This window comes from Homo sapiens, chromosome 5 (genome assembly GCF_000001405.40).
Source record: "Homo sapiens chromosome 5, GRCh38.p14 Primary Assembly".
Classification (NCBI taxonomy): Eukaryota; Metazoa; Chordata; class Mammalia; order Primates; family Hominidae; genus Homo; species Homo sapiens.
This window is the reverse complement of record NC_000005.10, coordinates 112,141,539-112,162,583: the sequence shown is the minus strand read 5'-3', so window position 1 is coordinate 112,162,583 and position 21,045 is coordinate 112,141,539. Positions and strand designations below refer to the sequence as shown.

The following is a 21,045-nucleotide window of genomic DNA, read 5'->3' as shown; positions in this document are numbered from 1 at the left end:
GATATGGCAACATTAAATGTACAATTTAGTTGGAGGAAAAATACGCATTGAGTGCAGTAAAGCACACCTGTCACTAGAAATCAGTCTAGTTCTAGCCACGATTTTTGAGTCACTGGAAGAAAGTACATTTCTCTTTGGGCCAAACACAAGCTATTTTAAGGCTATTAATTATGGTGACAGCAGTGAATACTGATCAAAAAAGAACCCCTCCTCCCTTATAACTTTTTAGAAATAGCTGTTTCTGGCAGTTAATCACTTAAAACACAAATGCCAAAGTGCATTAATATATTTATTCACATCCTCACTGTCTTAAATGTGTATTTACAGACTCCAGCAGGTAATTATGTCAGTACTCCTCAGACTCCCAGAAATTTCAAATGATCCAGGCAACTCTTGTGAAGATCAAATTTTCAAAATCCTCACCAAGGACATCCTAAGAGAAAAAATAAAGTACTCAATTCGACAGCAAATATTTTTGTATTACATTTTAATCAAGAACTTGGTAATATGCCTGCGATTTCACAAGCTTTTAAAAAACTCAATTACTACACATAAAAACAAATCTTAAAGAGATGCAGAATGCCAGTACTATGCGTATTTATTTCCCTGGGCTTCTCAGGAAGTATCAGCAAAACCTTCCCAAAAATAAGCTGTGGAGGCTATCCCATTTATTAACTCACCTTAATAGCTACAGACAGAGCAACACTACGAATGTACCACTGACATTAAAACTCACTAGAGAAGGAACCCCAATTTAAAAGGTGATAAAAATTCCCATTACAAAGTGCTTTAAGACATATCACCCTACCTTCAGGTCACCTTTATGCTCCCAGATGGTATTCAGCTAGCAGCAGTCTACACTTCAGGCATCCATCTTCCACCTGAACAAAAATTAGAACTGGCTAAGAGAAACCATACACTTAAGGCTAGCAGGGTCAAGATCACGCGTGGAAACGTAAAAGCAGCAACTGTTACTTATGCAGCTCCTACACCAAAGGTATCAAATTTAAGGGCAGGAAAAGGCTGCAAAGCGTTTAATTTACGCCTTTTTTGACACCACATTCACTAGTTTCCAAAGTGAATGGGCAACACAAAGGCTGACACTGCGTGAGGTAGGCTTTATGGCATAAGGTTGCTGACTGGCTGACAGTAATGCCGATTACAGCCTAAAAACGGACAATACATTTCAGAGAAATTTTCTCACGATTTAAAATCCGACTTAATAATGAAAAGTGAAATGCGATGCGTTTTAAATGGCGACTGGTCTTGCACGAACGTGAAAACTCACCTGTAGGGTAGGTGATCACTCCCGACGAGCACCGCACGTGGAAACAGCTGTAACCAGGCACGCTGCTTTTAAGTTATTTTATACGGGGGCAGGGCAAGCATAAAGTCAGTTATACGGTAAGGCCTTTTCACTGACGAAAATAAAACCAGGCTTATCTGGAGAACTCCCTGGCATAGTCGATGATGTAAACACAAATCGACGAAGCTCCCCGTTTCCAAACGTGGGAACGCAGGCCTGAGGCCAGGCCGCTGCCCTTGTTCACGGCCCCGGACACTTCGGACACAGGCCGCCGCAGTCGACTCACCAGACTCAGGGTGGCCGCGTTCCCCCGCCCGGCGCCCCTGCGTGAGAGACCACGCGGCCACAGCCAGGCGCCATCCCAGAGGACCCAGAGCAAAAACCACAGCAAGCTCGCACCAAAAGGAAGAAAGGACAGGCTTCCGTCCCACAATGCTTTTCTACAAGTGGAAGGACCCACTGTCCGAGAGCGCGAGGGGGGAGCGGGCTGTACCATCGGCCGCTGCGCTATGGCGAGACGCCGCCGTGTGGCCGGAGGGAGAAGTGCCAGTGAGGGACCGAGGGGCGTGTCACCAAAGGGAGGAGGAGCCTGGGTTCTCAGCCCGAGTCACCTCTGCGGATGTGTGGCCAGTTCTTTCCACAGAGGAGGTATCCAGACATCCCCCCACCCGACCAGGGTCAAGAGCATATGATCAGTGCTGGCAGCGGCAGGAGCCCAAAGGACTTTAGACCACGTATTTTGGGACCCGACAGAATTCATGAGTCCAGCTGAGGAAGAGTAGAGTCATTCATTCGAAAGATATTTAGTCAGCACTTACTATGCTCCAGGCCCTGGCCTGAGTGCCTGGGAATCAGGTGTGGGTGAGCCAGGCAAGGTTTCTGTGGTACATTCTGCTTGGGTGAGTAGGCCACTGACCAAGTGAGCCCGGATGCTGAAATTCTACAATGTAAGTGCCAGGAGGGCAGCAAAAGAGGGTCATGCCATAGGGTAGCGCTGTCCGATGGAAACAGTGTGAGCCATGAGTGTAATTTTAAATTTTCCAATTGCCACATAAAATGTGAAAAGAACGCCGGGCGCGGTGGCTCATGCCTGTAATCCCAGCACTTTGGCAGGCTGAGGCAGGTGATCACCTGAAGTCAGGAGTTCAAGACCAGCCTGGCCAACATGGCAAAACCCCGTCTCTACTAAAAATACAAAAATTACTTGGGCTTGGTGGCGGGCGTCTATAATCCCAGCTACTTGGGAGGCTGAGGCAGGAGAAATGGCTTGAACCCGGGCGGGGTGGGGGTGGAGGTTGCGGTGAGCCGAGATCATGCCACTTGACTCCAGCCTGGACAAAAGGGCGAAACTCCGTCTCAAAAAAAAAAAAAAAAAAGTAAAAAGAAACAGATCAAATTAATTTTAATAATAACCCAACATATTTTAAATATTTCAACAGGCAATCAATATGAGATTATTAATAAGATATTTCTTTTATATCTACTAAGTCATAAAAATCCGGTGTATATTTTATACTTCCAGCACATTTCCGTTCAGACTAGACACATTTCAAGTGTTCAGTAGCTCATGGGGCTAGGAATAGGAAGACTGGAAGTGAACTCCGAGCAGATGTGTGAAGGCGGTTATGCAAGATCTGGAGACAGCAGGCCTTGGCCAGTGTGGCTGGAGTCGAGTAAGGAGTGTAGAGTGACAAGATGCAGCTGGAGAGCCAGGCAGGAGCAAGGCACTTAGGGTCTTGTCACACAGGGCAAGGTGTTGGGATTTTATGCTGAAATCTTAGAGTTGATTAATTATCACCACAAAAATTAAGCAGAGTTTGTTAATTGGCTTTTTTCCTGATAACCATAACTCCTTGAAGGGACAGGACAAGTGGCAGCAAGACAAGTTGTATGATAACAACTAGGTCTCCATGTTTCTCTAAGTCCTAGCAGAGATTCATCCAGAGACCAGTTTTAGCACCTTTCGTTGTTTCTTTGAAGCCTACTTCTATAAAAGAAAGAAGGAAAGAGAAGAAAAGGAGCTTATCTCCGAACACATCAAGTTATATACATTAAATACAGCTTTTTGTATCTCAATCATACCTCAATAAAGTGGTTTAAAAAAAAAAGAAAATTCAGGCTCACAGCCCAGTGGTCATCACACAAGGACTAGCATGAATAATAACCAAATCAATCTGGAGAAAATGACTGTACAGAATTAGTAAATGTATAATTATTACAAGAAGGTAAGTAACTCCAGACTTCATTAGGAAGTCACTGTAACATCTGGGGCAAAAGGAAGTTTGCAGAAGGAAGGCAGTAACACGAAGATTGTCCTTTAAAGACAGCGAAAGGCACAGTGTGGGGATTATAACATGCCTTAGTCTTGCCTTCTTGCTAGGGAAAGTCAGTGACATGTTTTGGCTGTGTCCTCACCCAAATCTCATTTTGAATTGTAGTTCCCATACTCCCCAGGTGTTGTGGGAGGGAGCTGGTGGGAGGTAATTGAATCATAGGGTTGGTTACCTTCATGCTATTTTCGTGATGGTGAGTGAGTTCTCAGGAGATCTCACCAGATCTTTGCTTGGCACTTCACCTTCCTGCTGCCATGTGCAAAAGGATGTGTTTGCTTCCCCTTCCGCTATGATTGTAAGTTTCCTGAGGCCTCCCCAGCCATGCTAAACTGTAAGTTAATTAAACCTTTTTATTTTATAAATTATCCAGTCTCGGGTATGTCTTGATTGGCAGCAGCATGAGAATGGACTAATGCAGTGAGAGAGAGGAAATTTTCTTGGACTGGGGCAGCCAGCATATATAGGTTTAGTTTATATCTACCTCTGATATTTGTTCCCTTAGGTATGTGACCACCATTGTGAGCCTGAGTTTCCTCATTTAAAGGTAATAACTACACACATGTACTATATGGGTTAGTTTAAAGAATTATGAAAGGTTTGTGGAATCACGTAGCATTGTGTGTGGTACATAATGACATCTAATAAATGACTCAAATGAGCTAGACATTTCCTCTCTTTTACCCCTACCCCAAATATGGAACCTTCTTGTATTGAGTTCTTATGAAAGGGGGAAACATGCTGTTTTTCTTCTAATGGCTTTACATTATTGCTCCCACTTTCCTCTTTTCTCTTCTTCCCTTTGTATCTCTTCCCTAAACTTTCCAAAATTAGGCAGAGGAAGGCATTTGTTCCAATTACTGGATCAGTGTTAGGTTTTAGGAAATCAATTCAAAATCCTTCCTCTCCCCTGTCTGCTTCAGCCTCCTGAATCCTGGTACAGAAAACCCAATTACTAAGTACAGGTAAGCAGAAAGGACATGAGAAGAAGATAGTGGATATTTTCTACCTAGTCTCTGCTTCCTCCTTGCCTGCTGGGCTGAGGCACTGTGTAAGGATGTTCAAGCCACACAGTGGTAGTGCAAATGTGAAGCAACCTGGGTTTCCCTGTGTGGAAGGCAGAATAATAATCTCTCCCCAAAAGATATTCATGTCCTAATTCTCAGAACCTGTGAATATGGTGCATTACATAGCAGAAGGGGCTTTGCATATGTGATTAATATTAGGAACCTTGAGATAGGGGGATAAAAATGGAAGAAGGTAGCAGAAGAGTTAGAGATTTGGCAGAAGGGAAGGCAGGAGAAATAGACATGAGAGGGGCTCAACCCTCCATTGCTGGCTTTGAAGATGTAGGAAGGGGCCACAAGCCAAAGAATATGGGCAGCCTCTAGTACCTGGGAATAACCCTCAGCTGACAGCAAAGGAGCAGGGATTTCTGTCCTACAGAGCTGTGAGATAATGAATGTATGTTGTTTTAAGCCACTAAATTTGTGTTAATTTGTTATGGTAGCAAGAGAAACCTAATATAACCTATAAGGGGTAGAGAGTAAGTGAGCTTTATTTGTTACTCCACCATTTCTTGTCCCATCTCGATTTTCTCATTAGGAGTGGAAACGAGATTTTGCAGACAAACTTGTGCACATTTCATTTTAAAATAATTAATCCATATAAAGCTGACTTTTGCTTATAGTGAGTTCTAGGGATAACCAGTTGCTCTAAGGTGGTTTATCAATAGCCCATCCTTTCTACACAGATCTACCATGCCACCATCATCATAGATCAGGTTGTTTTTTTTTTTTCTTTTTGCATGGATGTACCTTTGCACTCTCTATTCTGTCCTACTGGTCTATTTGTCTCTCCTGTGTCAATATTACGCTGTCTCAATTACTATATTTTTTATAATGTCTTTATATTTTCGGGGCAAATACCCTGCCCTCCCACATCCATATCACCACGCAGACACCATGATCTTTTTCAGGGAAGTCTTGGCTATTACTGTCCCTTTTCTCTTGCACATAGTTTTTAGAATTAGATTGTAAAGTTCAATGAATTGAACTGGTTCACTTGGACTCCTTCTCCTTTTTGGTAGTCATTGTTTGATTACGCTTGTCTTCAGGATTGTACTGCTAAAGCCATATTTCATCATCTTTTCACTGAACTTCACAATCTAAAGATTGTTGGGATTTTTATTGGAATTGCATTGGATCTGTGATCAACTGAAGGAGAGTTGACATCTATATGAAAATGGTATGTGTGATAGTCGATTTTATGTATCAACTCTGGATCACAGGATCTTCAGCCATCTAGCTAAACATTATTTCTGGGTGTGTCTTTGAGGATGTTTCCAGAGGAGATTAGCATTTGAATCAATAAACTGAGTAAAGGAGATGTACTTCCTCAATGTGGGTGGCATCACTTAATCCTTTGAGGGCCTCAATAGAACAAAAAACGGGATAAAGAAAGGATTCGCTTGCTGTCTGCCTGACTCTATCAGCTGGAACGTTAATCTTCTGCCCTCAGTTCTCCTGGTTCTCAGGCCTTTGGAATCTACACCACCTGCTCTCTGGCTATACCACTGGCCTTCTTGGGCCCCTAGCTTAGAGACAGCATCTTAGCACTTCTGAGCTACCATAATTGCATGAGCCAATACTCCTAATGTTTCAGCATGTGTGTATGGTGTGTGTGTCATTTTTATGCCTTTCTTATTGTTTGTTGGGTTAGGGAAGTTTCCTTCTATTTCTACATTGCTAATAGTTTTTTTTAAATTAAGAATGAATGTTGAATTTTATTATTTTTTCTGCTTCTATTGAGATGAACATATGGGTTCTTTTTTTGTTATTATGGTGAATTGCATTAATACATTTTCTGATATTAAACCAATTTTGCATTTCTGGAAGAAACAAAACTTGTCATTTCAAAAAGTATTCTGTTTAGAGTTACTGCAGTTCTGTTTATGGATGAGACTATAGTTATTTTTTTCATACTGTTTTAAAAATTTGATATTAAAATTATATACATATCTACTTAACATTAATAATTTGTTTCTGAAAATCAGACGTTCTGATCAAAAACAGAGCCCATTTCTCTTTATTTTAAATGGCAAAATTATAATGGATTACTTGTGAACCCAAACTAATTTCCTAAAATGTAAGTAAAATATGGTAAACCTATATTAAATTTGCTTCCTGGCCCCCAAATAATATAGTTGTTGACAAATAATTGCTTTGTTAGCTGTAATATAGTTTCTTTCATTGTAATTGCTTTTCTGCTTGTTTTGCTTCCTTTTCTATAAAGTTCTTTAACACTTTCTTGACTTTTATTCAGTCTCATTGTTATAATTAGGGAGGAAGATGTGGTGGTGGGGAAGAAATATGAAAGTCACTCTAGAAATGTGTCAGAGAATGATTCACACTGAGGATGATACAGTAATGCCTCTTGTATCATCAGTGGCATTTGTGTGGAACATCCCTGTCACTGATATTCAGGATGCTTTTGGATATGCTGACACATGATGCTGTCATATTACTAATTGTGTTTGTGATGTATCTCAAAGCATTTGATACACTTTTTTTTTTTTGGTTGTTGCTAAAAATGTTGCATTGAGTTTTGGGAGCTAAAATATAATTTTTTTCTATGTAAATATCATCTGAAATGTTGTTTGAGAGATACATATGTTTTGTGATGTTGTGGTCCTAAATACAAGAGGTAACTTCTGGGAAAATATAAATCTGTGGAATATGCCTGTACTAGCTTTATAAAGTAATCTGAAGAACTATTCCTCTTTTTCTCTTACCTGAAAGTTTTTGTGTAATGTCAGCATTCTTTTTCTTAATTAAAAAATTCCACTTTTAAGATTAAGTCTAGTATTTTCTTTGTGGGACAATTTTAAACTACTGATTTCAGTTTCCTTAATGGACATAGGACCATTCAGGTGTTCTAGTTCTTTGGTCAGTTTTGTTAAGTTAAAGTTCCTAGAAAAGTATACATTTCCTGCACATTTTTAAATTTGTTGTTAGGAAGTTGTTCCTTACAGTATCTGATTATCTTTTGAAATCTCTGCTTTTCTTTCAGGTATGTTTATTTTTCATTCTTAATGTGTGCCAGAGGATTGTGAATTTTATTAGTAATTATTTAGTATTTTAAACTGTATTGATGTTACTTTTTCTGTTAGCACAATTTATGTCCAGCATTTATGTCACTTTAGCAATGATGAATCACTCCACATTTGTTAATTAAGTTATATTTTATTTCAGATTTAAAAAAATTTTGTGGGGGCTATTTATGCTTGCACAGTGTAAAATGGACATTCCATGTTGTTCCAATTTTTGCACAATATAATTTTTTCATGCTGTGCCTCATTATTAATATCATGTCTTTTAAAATTTCCCTGGAGATTTAGAAGAGTCATGTAAATTATATGTAAAAAGAGTATTGAAGAAAAAACTATCTCTTTATTGTGGGCATTTGATTTTAAGATAATGTTTAAAATCATTGCGTAAATTATTGAATGTTAAATATCAAAATGCTGAACAATTACTGCTTACACAAGAATTACAGTGCACATGCATATGTCCAAAGTACAAAAAATACATTTATAAGTAGTGGGAACTATATAATTTTAGCAAAATGAAAACCTAATGATCATCGTAAAGCCCTGAGTGCGTTGTACAGAGTGTATTCACTGGTGCTAGAAAGCTTACTATGAGTCAGGTGAACTGGAGGATAGTGTTGTGAATGCTCTCTAATGCCGCAGTAGTGGAAGATCCACTTGTCTCTGGGGATTGCAATATTGTATATGTAGTTTAAATTAGCCAGTTTATATCCACACTTACATTATTAATTAATTTTACCTCTTCTAATACTTATTATTACAGTACTTCCCAATATATTTAAATGTTTTTCAATGTTTTACCAATTAACTTGGCCATATTGGTGTGTGCCAGCTACATATCTGTTTCTAAGTATTTTTGCATTTTCTTCTTTGACTTTTGAGTTATTTAGAGATACATTTTTAATTTTCACTGTATGGAGTCTTTTTGAATGTAAGTTATATTTTTGTTATTTATTTTTAATAATAAATAATAAGTAATAAAACTATAAGATTTTGATTTTTTGAAATTTGTTTTGGGTCATAATAGGTGGTTACTTTTTATAAATATTCTGTGGTCTCTACTTGTATGCTGTGTTCCATAATATGTCCTTTGGATCTAGCTTATTAACCATATTATTCCAATCTTCTATATCCTTACTGATTTGTAATCTGCTTGATCTATCAGCTATTGTGTGTTTTAAGGTTTCCCATTATGATATGGATTTGTTAATGTCTCCTTGTATTTCTGTCATTTTTTGCTCTCTCTCTCTCTCTCTCTCTATATATATATGTATATTTTTTCTTTTTCTTTTCTTTTGTTTTTTTTTTGAGACAGAGTCTTGCTCTGTTGCCCTGGCTGGAGTGCAGTGGCGCTATCTTGGCTCACTGCAACCTCCGCCTCCCAGGTTCAAGCAATTCTCCTGCCTCAGCCTCCCGAGTAGCTGGAATTATAGGCGCATGCCACCATGCCAGGCTAATTTTTTGTATTTTTAGTAGAGATGGGGTTTTGCCATGTTGGTTGGCCAGGATGGTCTCCATCTCTTGACCTCGTGATCCGCCCGCCTTGGCCTCCCAAAGTGCTGGGATTACAGGCGTGAGACACCATGCCCGGCCTCTTTTTCTTTTTTTTTAAATTTTTGAGACAGGATCTTATTCTTTCACTCAGGCTGGAGTGCAATGGTTTGATCTCGGCTCACTGCAACCTCCACCTTCCAGGATCAAGCAGTCCTCCCATCTCAGCCTCCTCAGTAGCTGGGACCACAGGCCCACAACACCATGCCAGGCTAATGTTTGTGTATTTATTAGAGACATGGTTTCACCATGTTGCCCAGGCTAGTCTCGAACTCCTGAACTGAAGCTATCCACCCGCCTTAGCCTCCCAAAGTGCTGGGATTACAGGCATGAGCCACTGCACCTGGCCCTGTATATATTTGAAATTATGTTATTATATTGCATCCATATTCATACAATTGATATATCTTCCTAGATAATTAAATTTCCATTAATATGTAATCTTTGAATCTGGTAATTTTTTTTGCTTCGAGAATTTTTTTCTTCATGATTTCACATGAACTTTTATTGGTGTGTATTAGTGTGCTTTATCTTTTTTCCTCCTATTACTTTCCATTTTTGTGTCCTTATAGTATAGCTATGTCATTGTCATCTTAGTCCATTCCTGCTATAACAAAGTAACTTAGACTGGGTAATTTATCACAACACAAATTTATTTTTTACAGTTTTGGAGGCTGGAAAATCTGAGATTAAGGTGCCACAGTGTTTGGTGAGGGCCCATTCCTCACAGATGGCACCTTCTTGCTGCATCCCTACAATGTGAAAGGGGCTAACAGGCTCCCTCAAGCCTTTTTATAAGGGCACTAATCCCATTCATGACATAATCACCACCCAAAGGCTCCACTTCTTGATACCATCACCTTGGAGGTTAGATTTCAACATACGAATTTTGGAGGGACATAAACATTCAGACCATAGCAGTAATGTAAATATCATAAGATTGGATTTTTAAAAGATTCTGTTTTATAATCTTTTACTTAGAATATTTGGTTCACTTTTATTTAATGTAAATATTATACCTTTGTTTTAATTTCTACCATTTTATTTTGTTCTTCCATTTCATCTCTCTTTCTTCTATGTTTTTTTTTCTCTTTTCTTTTTTTATATTTTGGTCTTGTATTGGATTTGTTAAAAATTGTTTTTATTTAATATTTTTCTCCTGTCATAGTATGGAAGTTATATGTAGCCAAATTATAGTTTTTCAGGAATTCTCAAATTTTAACTTGCATATCTAACTCAAGAAAGACTAAATATGGCTGGGAATGGTGGCTCACGCCTGTAATCCCAGCACTTTGGAAGGCTGAGGTGGGCGGATCACTTGAGGTCAGGAATTCAAGACCAGCCTGGCCAACATGGTGAAACCCTGTCTCTACTAAAAATACAATAAATTAGCCAGGCGTGGTGGCATGTGCCTGTAATCCCAGCTACTAGGGAGGCTGAGGCGGGAGAATAGCTTGAATCCGGGAGGCGGAGGTTGCAGTGAGCTGAGATCGTGCCATTGCACTCCAGTTTGAGCAACAATAGAGAAACTCTGTCTCAAAAGAAAAAAAAAAAGACTAAATATATAAAATAATATGGGACTGGGTGCAGTGGCTCATGCCTGTAATCACAGCATTTCAGGAGGCCAAGGCAGGTGGATCGCCTGAGCTCAAGATTTTGAGACCAGCCTTGGCAACATGGTGAAACCCCATCTCTACAAGAAATACAAAAATTATCTGGGTGTGATGGCACACACCTGTGGTCCCAGCTACTTTGGAGACTGAGGCAGGAGGATCACTTGAACCCTGGAGGTTGAGGCTGCAGTGAACTAAGATTGCACCACTGCACTCCAGTCGGGGCGACAGAACAGGACTCTGTCTCAAAAATAAATAAAAATAAAATAATATACAAATATATATAAATATATATTTATCCTCTTCTTGAATAAAAAAAAAAACAAGGACCTTAGAAATGTCTGATGCTAGCTACCCTTTACCCCACTTAGGGGCTATTGTTCAGTATTTTAATTCTATTATTGTATATTTTTAAACTCACAAATTTGACATTCTTATCGATTTATAGTCATTAAATACTTTTTTTACGGGTTACCACTTCTTTGATCATCATTCTCTCCTGCATCTCAGACCATCTATTCAAGATAATTTTTTTCTTAATGAAGTATATACTTTAGAAAATATTTCTACTCTAATTGCAATCTTTCGACCATCAGCATCAACATCACTTAGAGAGCTTATTAGAAATGCAGAATCTCAGATCCCTCCCCAGACATAATGAATAGCAATTTATATTTTAACAAACCCCCCAGGTGATTCATATGCAAATTAATGTTTGAGAAACACTGCTTATAGGCTCATTTAGTGAGGGTCTACTCATGCTAAACTCTCATAGCCTTTATTTGTCTGAAAATGTCTTTGTTTCACTCTCATTTTTGAAAGGGATTTTGCTGGGTACATGATTTTAAATTAATGGTTGTATTCTCTCAGCACTTTGAAACTATTACTTCCTATAATAAGAGTGAATATATAAAATGAATATGCCTTACATTTTATGGAAAAAGTCACAGGTCAGTCTAATGGTTGTTCCTTGCCAAATAATCTGTCTTTTCTTCTCTTTTTCTTGGATGATCTGAATTTTATTACAATATGAGTAGATGTGAGTTTCTTTTTATTTAACCTAGCTATGATTAACTGGGATTCCTGAATCAGAGACTTGGTGTTTGTCTTCTTCAGCTTTATCTTCCAACTCACTAATTCTCTTTTCAGCTGTTAATACTGAGTTTTTAATGTCAGTTATTATACATTATTTTTCTAGGAGTTCCCTTTGTTTTTTTTCAAAGATGTAGGTAATTTAGGATATCTTTTGCTTTTTTGTTATGCACCCTCTTTTATGTCTTGAAATAGATGAAACACACTATTCAATACTCTGATACTCTGATTGACAGGGTCTAACTCTGTTTTAGCTGACTGTCACTTGTTGCCCATTTTCTCGTGGGTTTGTCATTTTCTTTTTCAATGTGAACTGATGTTGTTTGGAAATTAATTTGTGATAACCATTTGAGTCTGTTCCTCTAGAAAGCCTTTATGTTTGTTTTTGCTGAGTACTTGGAGTATCACTGACTTGGGAGCACTCAGACTACACATAAGTGTAAATTCTTACCCCATCCTACATGAGGGAGGGCTGGTGTTAGTCATTTTCAAGGAAAACTTTCCTCCCTGTTTTATCATTTTTCATACTACATAGGCTAATCATCCCTACTGTTTCTCTTCTGTAGGGTGATCTCCCTCCTTTCCATTCACTTACTGAGGATGTTACCTTTCAGGGAACAGACGTTATGCGTGGGTCATAATCCTATCACATTTTGCACAGGCCTCATGTCTTATCTCCTAACTCCCAAGTGGCCCTATGAAGCCTAAGCAATAAGCCACTGGGGTGAGCAAATGTCCCAGGCAAATCCCAGCTCCAGAACTTGCTTTGGATTCCTGTTATTTTTTATTTGTGGCCTCTCAGGACGTCCCATATTTTTCAGCCAACTCAGACACGCATTTAGAACAATATTTTAAAATATTTTATCCAGTATTTTTATTTGTTCTGAATTATAGGATTTCTCTGCGTAGCTCTACTGCCATATTGCAGGCACAAAGCACCTTTTGAGGTTTTTTCAATTTGTTCCTTGAAAAACTATCCAGTTTAAGAACATTAGAAGGGCTTATCACTAATCCTGCTTTTTCAACTAACAAGCTATGTATAAACGTAACAATTCTTTCCAAAATAATTCATAATTTAGAGTGCTCACAAAGTCTCTCTTTTTCTTTTTGAAATGGAGTCTCGGTCTGTTGCCCAGGCTGGAGTGCAGTGGCGCGATCTCAGCTCACTGTAACCTCTGCCTCCCAGGTTCACGCGATTCTCCTGCCTCAGCCTCCCAAGTAGCTGGGAATACAGGCACGTGCCACCACGCCTGGCTAATATTTTTGTATTTTTAGTAGAGACAGTGTTTCATCATGTGGTCAGGCTCAAGTCCTGACCTCAAATGATCCTCCTGTCTCAGCATCCCAAAGTGCTGGGATTACAGGCATAAGCCACTGTGCCTGGCCAGAGTCTCTTTCTTAAAGTAACTTGATCTAATTCTTTGGGAACCTGACAAAATTATATTCAGTAGTTCGTTTAAAATAATAAGATGATGAGAATAGCCAGAACAATTCTTTTTCTATTGCTGCTGCACAAATTCACCCAGAACAATTTAGAAAAATAGTAGTGAAGGAGTATTAACTCCTTTTAAAATACTAGATATGAAATATTCTGAATTTTACAAGATAATTAAATTAGCATGGTAATTGCACAGGCATTCCCTGTCAATGAAATGGAAGATATAACTCAGAAACAGTTCTTAGTGTATGCTGGACCTTAGTCTTAAAGTAAATATCCCAAATCAGCAGAGGAGGGAGGACTTATCCAACACACATTGCTGGCAACAGTGATTTGCCATTTGGAAAAAACAAAAAAGAGATTTACTTGATATTAAAAAGCAAAATAATGTCTATGTAGTTTAAAAATTAAATGGAAAAAATCACGATAGAAAGGCTAAGTGAAAATATTTTATTGTAAAAAAAACTTACTAAACATAAAAATCAATGGCTGTTTCTCAGAGGTGGCAAGAAACTGGTTACAATGAATGATGAAGTAACAGAGACTTTTCTTCCCTTTTGAACCATGAGAAAGTGTTACCTTTCAAAACAAATATTACCTTTCAGAATAAAATGTATTTAAAAAATAAATAAAAAAATGGAATAAGAAAATAATTGGTAGTCTTGATTTGGGAAAATCTAAAACTGTTCTGTCACTAAAGTAATAATTAAAGAAAATTCCATGTATCAATTGGTAAAATTCTTATAATAAATGTAATTAAAAGAAATATAACCCTAATTTTAAAATATTCACATTTATCCATATGAACACTGGGAAATCATCAGAGCCAAAGTCAAAAAGAGACATTTCACAAAAGAGAAACATGAATTCTAAAACATATCAAAGAAACCTATGGAAACTACTTTTGTATAGTAATACTACTAAACTATATTATTATATTATATAGTAATACTATTATATTATTATATTATATAGTAATACTATTATATTATTATATTATATAGTAATACTATTATATTATTATATTATATAGTAATACTATTATATTATAGTAATACTATTTAACTCCCAATTTTCTGGTGTTTGCGTTTATTTTTTAATTTATTTTTGTTTTTTCACTCTGTCACCCAGGCTGGAGTGCAGTGGCACCATCTCAGCTCACTGCAGCCTCCACCTCCTGGGTTCATGCAATTCTCCTGCCTCAGCTTCCCAAGTAGCTGGGACTAAAGTCATGTGCCATTTTGCCCAGCTAATTTTTGTATTTTTAGTAGAGACAAGGTTTCACCACGTTGGCCAGGCTGGTCTCAAATGCTGTAATGCTGGCATTACAGGCGTGAGCCACCGCGCTAGGCCTGTTTTTATCAAAAGCCAGGTAGGCCTATATTTGGAAAGGCCTTGTCTTTTTCATTCATTTTTTTCTTATTTTGGGGGTGTAATTACCCTTAAATTTTTTTCTCTTATGGAATTTTCATTATGGATTTGCTAATCTTTTTTTTTTTTTTCTTGAGACAGAGTCTCGTTCTGTTGCCCAGGCTGGAGTGCAGTGGTGCAGTCTTGGCTTACTGCAGCCTTTGCCTCCCGGGTTCGTGATTCTACTGCCTCAGCCTCCCAAGTAGCTGAGACCACAGGCACATGCCACCACACCCGGCTAATTTTTGTACTTTTAGTAGAGAAGGGGTTTCACTATGTTGGCCAGGCTGGTCTCGAACTCCTGACCTCAGGTGATCCGCCTGCCTCGGCCTCCCAAAGTGCTGGGATTACAGGCGTGAGTCACCGCACCCGGCTCAGATTTGCTAATCTTTATGCTAAATGTGTTCACATAAAAATGATGTGATTAAATAAGGTGTGGTTTGTCTTAATTTGATAACACAGATTTTATGTAAAATCTCTTCTCCACCACCATTTTATAGATCGTACTTGAAGTGCTGACTTGTCAATGACAGAGATACTGAATAGACTGCTAAATGAATACTAATTCAAGACATTCCTGGGTCTGATGTTACTACATGTAGAAAACCACCAGGTGGCAGTACAAGCCAAGCACAAAACCCACACTAATTTAGAGCAGCACATTACACTTTACACATTACAGGATTACACTTTAATTGGAATAAATGAACAACTGAATAGTCATATTGGAGTAGAATCACCACATTTTCCAGGTGTTTTAAACCTGGTTTTTATATTTTTCATACTTGTTTTTCCAAGGTGAGGCTTTTCTTTAAATAAAAGTCTCGTCTAATTAATAGAAAAGACCTGTTAAGGTTACATCTTATGCATTCCAATTCAGACAAGTATGAAACATCTTTGAGTGGTAAGATTCCTGTACTGCAGACTCTATGTTCTAAGCTAACCAGGAGGATAAAGCTGGTGCTTCAGTCTGCAGCCAGCTTGCCAGTAGCAACGAGGGTTAAATTATTAATAGACCTTTCTTCTGTGGTTAGGCAGCTCGACTGGTCTTAATTTTTTTTTAAGTCAGGTATGATTTGGTTGCTGTGCTTAGTCACACATCTGGAAATAAATAGTTGCTAGACAAAAATAAATTTTTTATATTTTTATGACTAAATATATGTGGCATGTGTTTCATGTCCACACATTGCCAAGGATATTTTTAGAAAAATCTGTTTCCGTCAGTAACCTTGCTGTTAGCTTGATGGTGCAAGAGTCTTTGGGGAGCGCAAACAGCGTTGGAAGATCCTCTGCTCCTGTGGGACACAGAATTACTCAAACAGCACTAAACACAAAACCTGGGTTTCTAATGAGTGGGCTGTTCATGTATTAATGTTAGTATTTGGTTTTAGCCACTGAAAGAGAATTGCAGCTGTTCCATTAGAGATCTGAAGTCTGTCAAATGGGTGAGTTATATTTCTGAACTTGAAATTGAGAATATGAAACCTTCCCAGAAATCATGGTGAGCCCAAGAATGGCTGAAAGGCAGAAGTTTGAGGATCGCGATGCTTGACATTTCTAAAAAGGGGGAGTAGTAATTTCAATAAACTTTGGTCTACAATAGTGAATGTGGTCTCGATTCTGTAAGACCCTATCAGATGAATGGGTGAGTAGTCCCTAGAGGCAGTAGCACCTACTTCATGAGAAGCCAGATTGGGTTTGACACTTGTCACAGCAAACTTTTTTCTTTAACAGGGTGTCCAGACCTCCAGACCTAGAAAGGGCAGAGAACTTGGAAATCTGAGTTTGAACAAGGCACTTCAGAAGGTCTCTCATAATACACTTCTGGATGAAGTGATATTGGGGCTGGGATGTAAGTGTAATTATGTATATTGATAATTGTCTCAATAGCTATTTAATAGATTGATATCAAATGGAGGAATGTGTCTAGGGTTGTTCTTGGCCTTTTTCTTTAATTCTTTTTACAGTGATTTGGTTGAGGATGTTGTATGCACGTTTATCAAATTTGGGATGATGTGAAATTAAATAGAATAAATTAAATGGTCAAATCAAGATCCTAAGTCTTAGGCTGGTTAAACTTGGTAGTATAGCAAGAATTGTTTTAAAGAGACTACATGTAAAGGCCACTACATGTGTCCTAAAGTCAATAGCATGTATACAGGATAAGTAGCTGTGACAAATCTGAAGAAGACAGGAAATGTAGTTGGCAGTGAAGATAGTATAAATCAGTTGTGTACAATGGCTGTCAGCAGAGTTAACTTATTTTTATTTATTTATTTTGATTCATAAAAATACAAAATCTCCATCTCAAATAGCATTCATTTAGCAGTTTCTTCAGTATCTCTGTCATTGACAAGTCAGCACTTCAAGTAAGATCTCTAAAATGGTGGTGCAGAAGAGATTTTACATAAAATCTCCGTTATCAAATTAAGATGAACCACACTTTATATAACCTCACTCTGTTGCCCAGGCTGGAGTGCAGCAATGTGATCTTGGCTCACTGCAACCTCCACCTCCCAGGTTCAAGTGATTCTCCCACCTCAGCCTCCCAAGTAGCTGGGATTACAGGTTTGTGCCACCACGCCTGGCTAATTTTTGTATTTTTAGTAGGGACAGGGTTTCGCCATGTTGGCCAGGCTGGTCTCAAACTCCTGACCTCAAGTGATACGCCCACCTCGGCCTCCCAAAGTGCCGGGATTACAAGCATGAGTCACCACCACGCACAGCCAGAATTAACTTACTTTTTTTAAACAAAGTTAATGTTAACTTAGGTTTCATTGATTAAAAAGTGTGGCATGGCAAAGGAGTGAGGGGATCCCCTCCCTCTTCTCCTGCAGGCTGGACTACCCTCTTTTCAATTCTAGGTGCTATAACCTCAAGTGGGGCATGGGCACAAGATTACATATTCATACATGTGACATTTATGTCACACATTCAACTATAACAGCAGTAGCAACAATTGCAACACCCATGGCCCCAATGTCTATCACCTGGGATGTCATTGCTACTTTCACCCAATTTAGATATAAATGACCTCTAGGTTTTCTTCTATCTCTACAATCCTACGATCCAGCTCACAAAAGATATCATCTTTGAGGATTAGGTGTAAATTCAGCCATGGCCAGTAAAGCCTCTAAAATCTCTGTATCCAACCAAGACCAGGCGCGGTGGCTCATACTTGTAATCCCATCAGTTTAAGAAGTTGAGGCTGGCAGATTGCTTGGGCCCAGGAGTTCAAGACCAGCCTGGGCAACTTGGCAAAACTCATCTCTACAAAAAATTAGCTGAGTGTGGTGGCACACACCTGTAGTCCCAGCTACTTGGGAAACTGAGGTGGGAGGATCATCTAAGCCCTGGGAGGTCAAGGTTGCAGTGAGCCGTGATTGCACCACTGTACTCCAGTCTGGACAACAGGGTGAGACACTGTCTCAAAATAAATAAAATAAAATCTCAGTGTCTAGAACACCAAAAGCTCTATGAGAGTGCAATAAGAATATTTGTATGTTGGTAAAAGAATGGGAAGTTAAGTATAATAAAATGCTTTTCCTTAAAAGTACATATCTATTGGGTTGATTTCCCTCATATTCCCAGGGCTGCTCCATATCAGGGTGGTTAAAATAATTTTAAGGAATGATTATAGGGAGAAAAGTAGGCACAGAGCCCTGAATTCTGTTTCTGAAGGCAGTTTATTTTCTGCCTTAGTGGACTATAGGCTTCAAGTCCAAAGATCCAGTCCAGTGATAATAAGGGGTGAATTGGAGGGTGGCCATAGCATAATTTATTATTCCAGGCTTCTGGTAGTATTGTCTTTGGCAACTGAGCACATTTCCCCCTTCTTTTCTATGTCTTCAGTGCAGACTCTGCTTTCTCCCTGTTTATACAGGGTCAGCACATGAAGTGATGTGGACAGAGAGCCCCACCTCCTTGGCTGCTGTGGTTGGTTCAGGTATTAACACGTGACTCAAGCTGGGCCAATTGGAGCCCTTGTCTGGGACTTTTCTATATTGGAGTCAATAGGGAAAATTGCTGTTGCTTCTATGTTCCTGGCACTAGAAGAATAGCTGAGGATGGCTGACTTTATCTCTTGTAGAGAAAGCCTGTCTGCAATAGTAAGAATGAGGCCAACACAAAGAGAGACAGGGAAGATAGGGGAGAAATGGTGATATTGAGGTCTGGATCTCAGTCTGTCTGACATCAGTGCTAATGAACCACTCCTTTTAAAATTTAAGTTGATTTGTATTTGTCATTTATATCCTGACTAATACAGCCTTCAGAAAGAAATATTAGAAAAAGCACTGTCATGAACTATTACTTCATTAACATAAAAACAGATCATTTTGGTATGATGATAATAAAAGTAGCAACAATCCATTAAGAATCTACTATATGTTAGGCACTGCAGTAAGTGCATTACATATTTTTTTCATTTAATCTTCACAACAACCTATGTAGTACCTGTATCAGTTTGCTATAACTGTATGACTAACTGCCCTGAAACTGAGTGGCTTGAAACAATAATTTGTTTAACTCACAAGTCTTTGTCTTGGTTGGGTAACTGTGGTCTGGACCAGGCTCAGGTGATCATAAATGGGCTTGCTAACGAGTCTGCGGTAAGTTGGCAGATTTCTAGGACTTACTAGTCTAGGGTGGCCTCATTCATAGGTGTAGAGTTTGGTCACCTGGGCACACAAGAGTGGATATTGCCTCTCCAGCAGGCTAACCCTAGCTAGTTTCAAGCAGGTGCCAAATGAGTGAGTGGAGGCATGTGAATCCTCTCATGGCTCACTCTTGGCACTGGCACGCAACTACTTCTGAAGCATTTTCTTGGCCCAGTTTCAAGGAATGAGGAAATAGTCTCTATTCTTAATGAGAGGAACTGAAAAGTCAAGGAGAGTGGATATAGAAAGGCATGGAAACAATGGGAACACAACTATTCTATTATGAAAGGTATTATGTGCATACACTTCAAAAGTTAAGAAACTTACTCAAGGTCATAAAGCTAGAAAGCAGCAGAGACAGGATTTGGGCCTTAATCTTCTGACCGAAAATCTCATTCTCTTTCAACACTTCTTTCTAATATTGCTGATTGATCTGTGCAGTCCAGATGTCACAGTGTAATTAGTTTCTAAAATAAATCTGTTCTTAGATTACTTTTGAATGACTTCTAAGTTATTATAAAAAAGTTCTTTGTTGTAATAAAGGTATTAACTTTCCATGAGTATATTCTTGACCCACACCCATAAGCATTTTTGCTCATATTTGTATCCACAATAAAATGAAGTTCATATTTTCATCTTGTAGCACAGTATCATTTGAATTACCAGATGCTATTTTAGAAGACTAGCTAAAATAACTTGCAGTACCTAGGAAGTTCTTAAATGGTGCTTACAGGAACTTGACTTCAGACAAATGGGAAGCCAGAAGATGGTGAATGAAAGGATCTATACACTAAAAAGAAAGCTGTCGACAGACAGAAGAAAGAGAGCTGCAGGACAGTGGAACTCCATCCCGTGGGATTCGAAGGAGAGGAGTAGTGGTAAGTGGCTATTATTTAAGTTGAGGAGTCTTAGAACCTAGTGTATAAGGCTCTGTGCATATCCCAGAGCCAGCCTTCTCCAAAGAAACTCAAAAGGGTAAAATATGGGGAAGAGAGACAAGGCACAGAGAGTCTGGTATTGCTCCTTAAGCAAATGCCCCACATTGTGCTTCTACAAAAATAATTCGGCTCAAATCCTCCTTTCATGTCTCACTTGGAAGTCTGAGTGTTACATTTATTCTTCTAGAATAGTTCTCACGGTGTTGTTGGGGGAGGAGGGTGGTCACCTAGGCAGCTTTATCTCATGAAATTCAGTGACTGAAATGCACAAATTGCTGGGAAGAAAGCAAGATCAGGAGGGTACAGAATAAAACAGATGGTGGAAAACAAAAGGAGGCAACTGCCAGGAACTTTCTTCCTGCAACTGACTAGGGACTTCTTTCAGAAAGTAACACAAGGCAAGCTGAACTGAACATTTTGGAACATCTCAGAGATCGTTTGGCTTGAGGCGAGATGACTGGGACCTCACCTTTGGGAGACAGACATGAGAAAAGGGAGTGTTCAAATGGTTTGAGGGAAACAGTGACAGGGAATTAAAGGAGGAAAAGCAGAGGGATATCTATGGGTTGGTAAGGAAAGCAGATTGTTTTATGAGTTA

General features: G+C 38.8%; 1 protein-coding gene, 1 long non-coding RNA gene and 1 other non-coding gene across 9 annotated transcripts in view, besides 6 other annotated features; 1 reads left to right on the top strand and 2 right to left on the bottom strand.

The window, feature by feature from the left end:
- EPB41L4A (erythrocyte membrane protein band 4.1 like 4A) overlaps positions 1–20,755 on the top strand; it is a 278,107-nt gene extending 257,352 nt beyond the window's left edge. For 4 of the 7 annotated variants that reach the window (XM_047417471.1, XM_047417472.1, XM_011543533.3 and 1 more), the window contains 2 exons: positions 16,586–16,703; positions 18,735–20,144. In XM_047417471.1, coding sequence (XP_047273427.1) covers positions 16,586–16,703; positions 18,735–18,811 — 195 coding nt within the window. In that variant the 3' untranslated portion in view covers positions 18,812–20,144. Of the gene's footprint in view, positions 1–16,585; positions 16,704–18,703; positions 20,145–20,242 lie in introns of those variants that run through there. The other 3 variants (XR_001742173.3, XM_011543531.4, XM_011543532.3) reach the window with 3 other exon arrangements.
- On the bottom strand, positions 83–2,058 carry EPB41L4A-AS1 (EPB41L4A antisense RNA 1). The gene is made up of 3 exons (NR_015370.2): positions 1,289–2,058; positions 809–881; positions 83–433 (listed from the first exon to the last, which is right to left on the bottom strand). It is a non-coding gene; the product is annotated as an EPB41L4A antisense RNA 1 (long non-coding RNA).
- Positions 967–1,099, bottom strand: SNORA13 (small nucleolar RNA, H/ACA box 13). The gene has a single exon (NR_002922.1). It is a non-coding gene; the product is annotated as a small nucleolar RNA, H/ACA box 13 (small nucleolar RNA).
- Positions 992–2,191: an enhancer, noted in NCBI's record as "BRD4-independent group 4 enhancer chr5:111496090-111497289 (GRCh37/hg19 assembly coordinates)". NCBI's record gives its function as "activates an origin of replication core promoter dependent on BRD2, P300/CBP, MED14 and CDK7 cofactors, and independent of BRD4, by STARR-seq in HCT116 cells {active_cell/tissue: HCT116}" and the evidence as "EXISTENCE:reporter gene assay evidence [ECO:0000049][PMID:35650434]".
- Positions 1,254–1,303: an enhancer, noted in NCBI's record as "active region_22908". NCBI's record gives its function as "activates an Ori minimal core promoter by ATAC-STARR-seq in GM12878 lymphoblastoid cells {active_cell/tissue: GM12878}" and the evidence as "EXISTENCE:reporter gene assay evidence [ECO:0000049][PMID:35858748]".
- Positions 1,359–2,091: an enhancer, noted in NCBI's record as "NANOG-H3K27ac-H3K4me1 hESC enhancer chr5:111496190-111496922 (GRCh37/hg19 assembly coordinates)". NCBI's record gives its function as "activates a minimal SCP1, AML or CMV promoter by ChIP-STARR-seq in naive and primed H9 embryonic stem cells {active_cell/tissue: H9 hESC(naive and primed)}" and the evidence as "EXISTENCE:reporter gene assay evidence [ECO:0000049][PMID:30033119]".
- Positions 1,414–1,463: an enhancer, noted in NCBI's record as "active region_22907". NCBI's record gives its function as "activates an Ori minimal core promoter by ATAC-STARR-seq in GM12878 lymphoblastoid cells {active_cell/tissue: GM12878}" and the evidence as "EXISTENCE:reporter gene assay evidence [ECO:0000049][PMID:35858748]".
- Positions 1,484–1,583: an enhancer, noted in NCBI's record as "active region_22906". NCBI's record gives its function as "activates an Ori minimal core promoter by ATAC-STARR-seq in GM12878 lymphoblastoid cells {active_cell/tissue: GM12878}" and the evidence as "EXISTENCE:reporter gene assay evidence [ECO:0000049][PMID:35858748]".
- Positions 1,964–2,173: an enhancer, noted in NCBI's record as "active region_22905". NCBI's record gives its function as "activates an Ori minimal core promoter by ATAC-STARR-seq in GM12878 lymphoblastoid cells {active_cell/tissue: GM12878}" and the evidence as "EXISTENCE:reporter gene assay evidence [ECO:0000049][PMID:35858748]".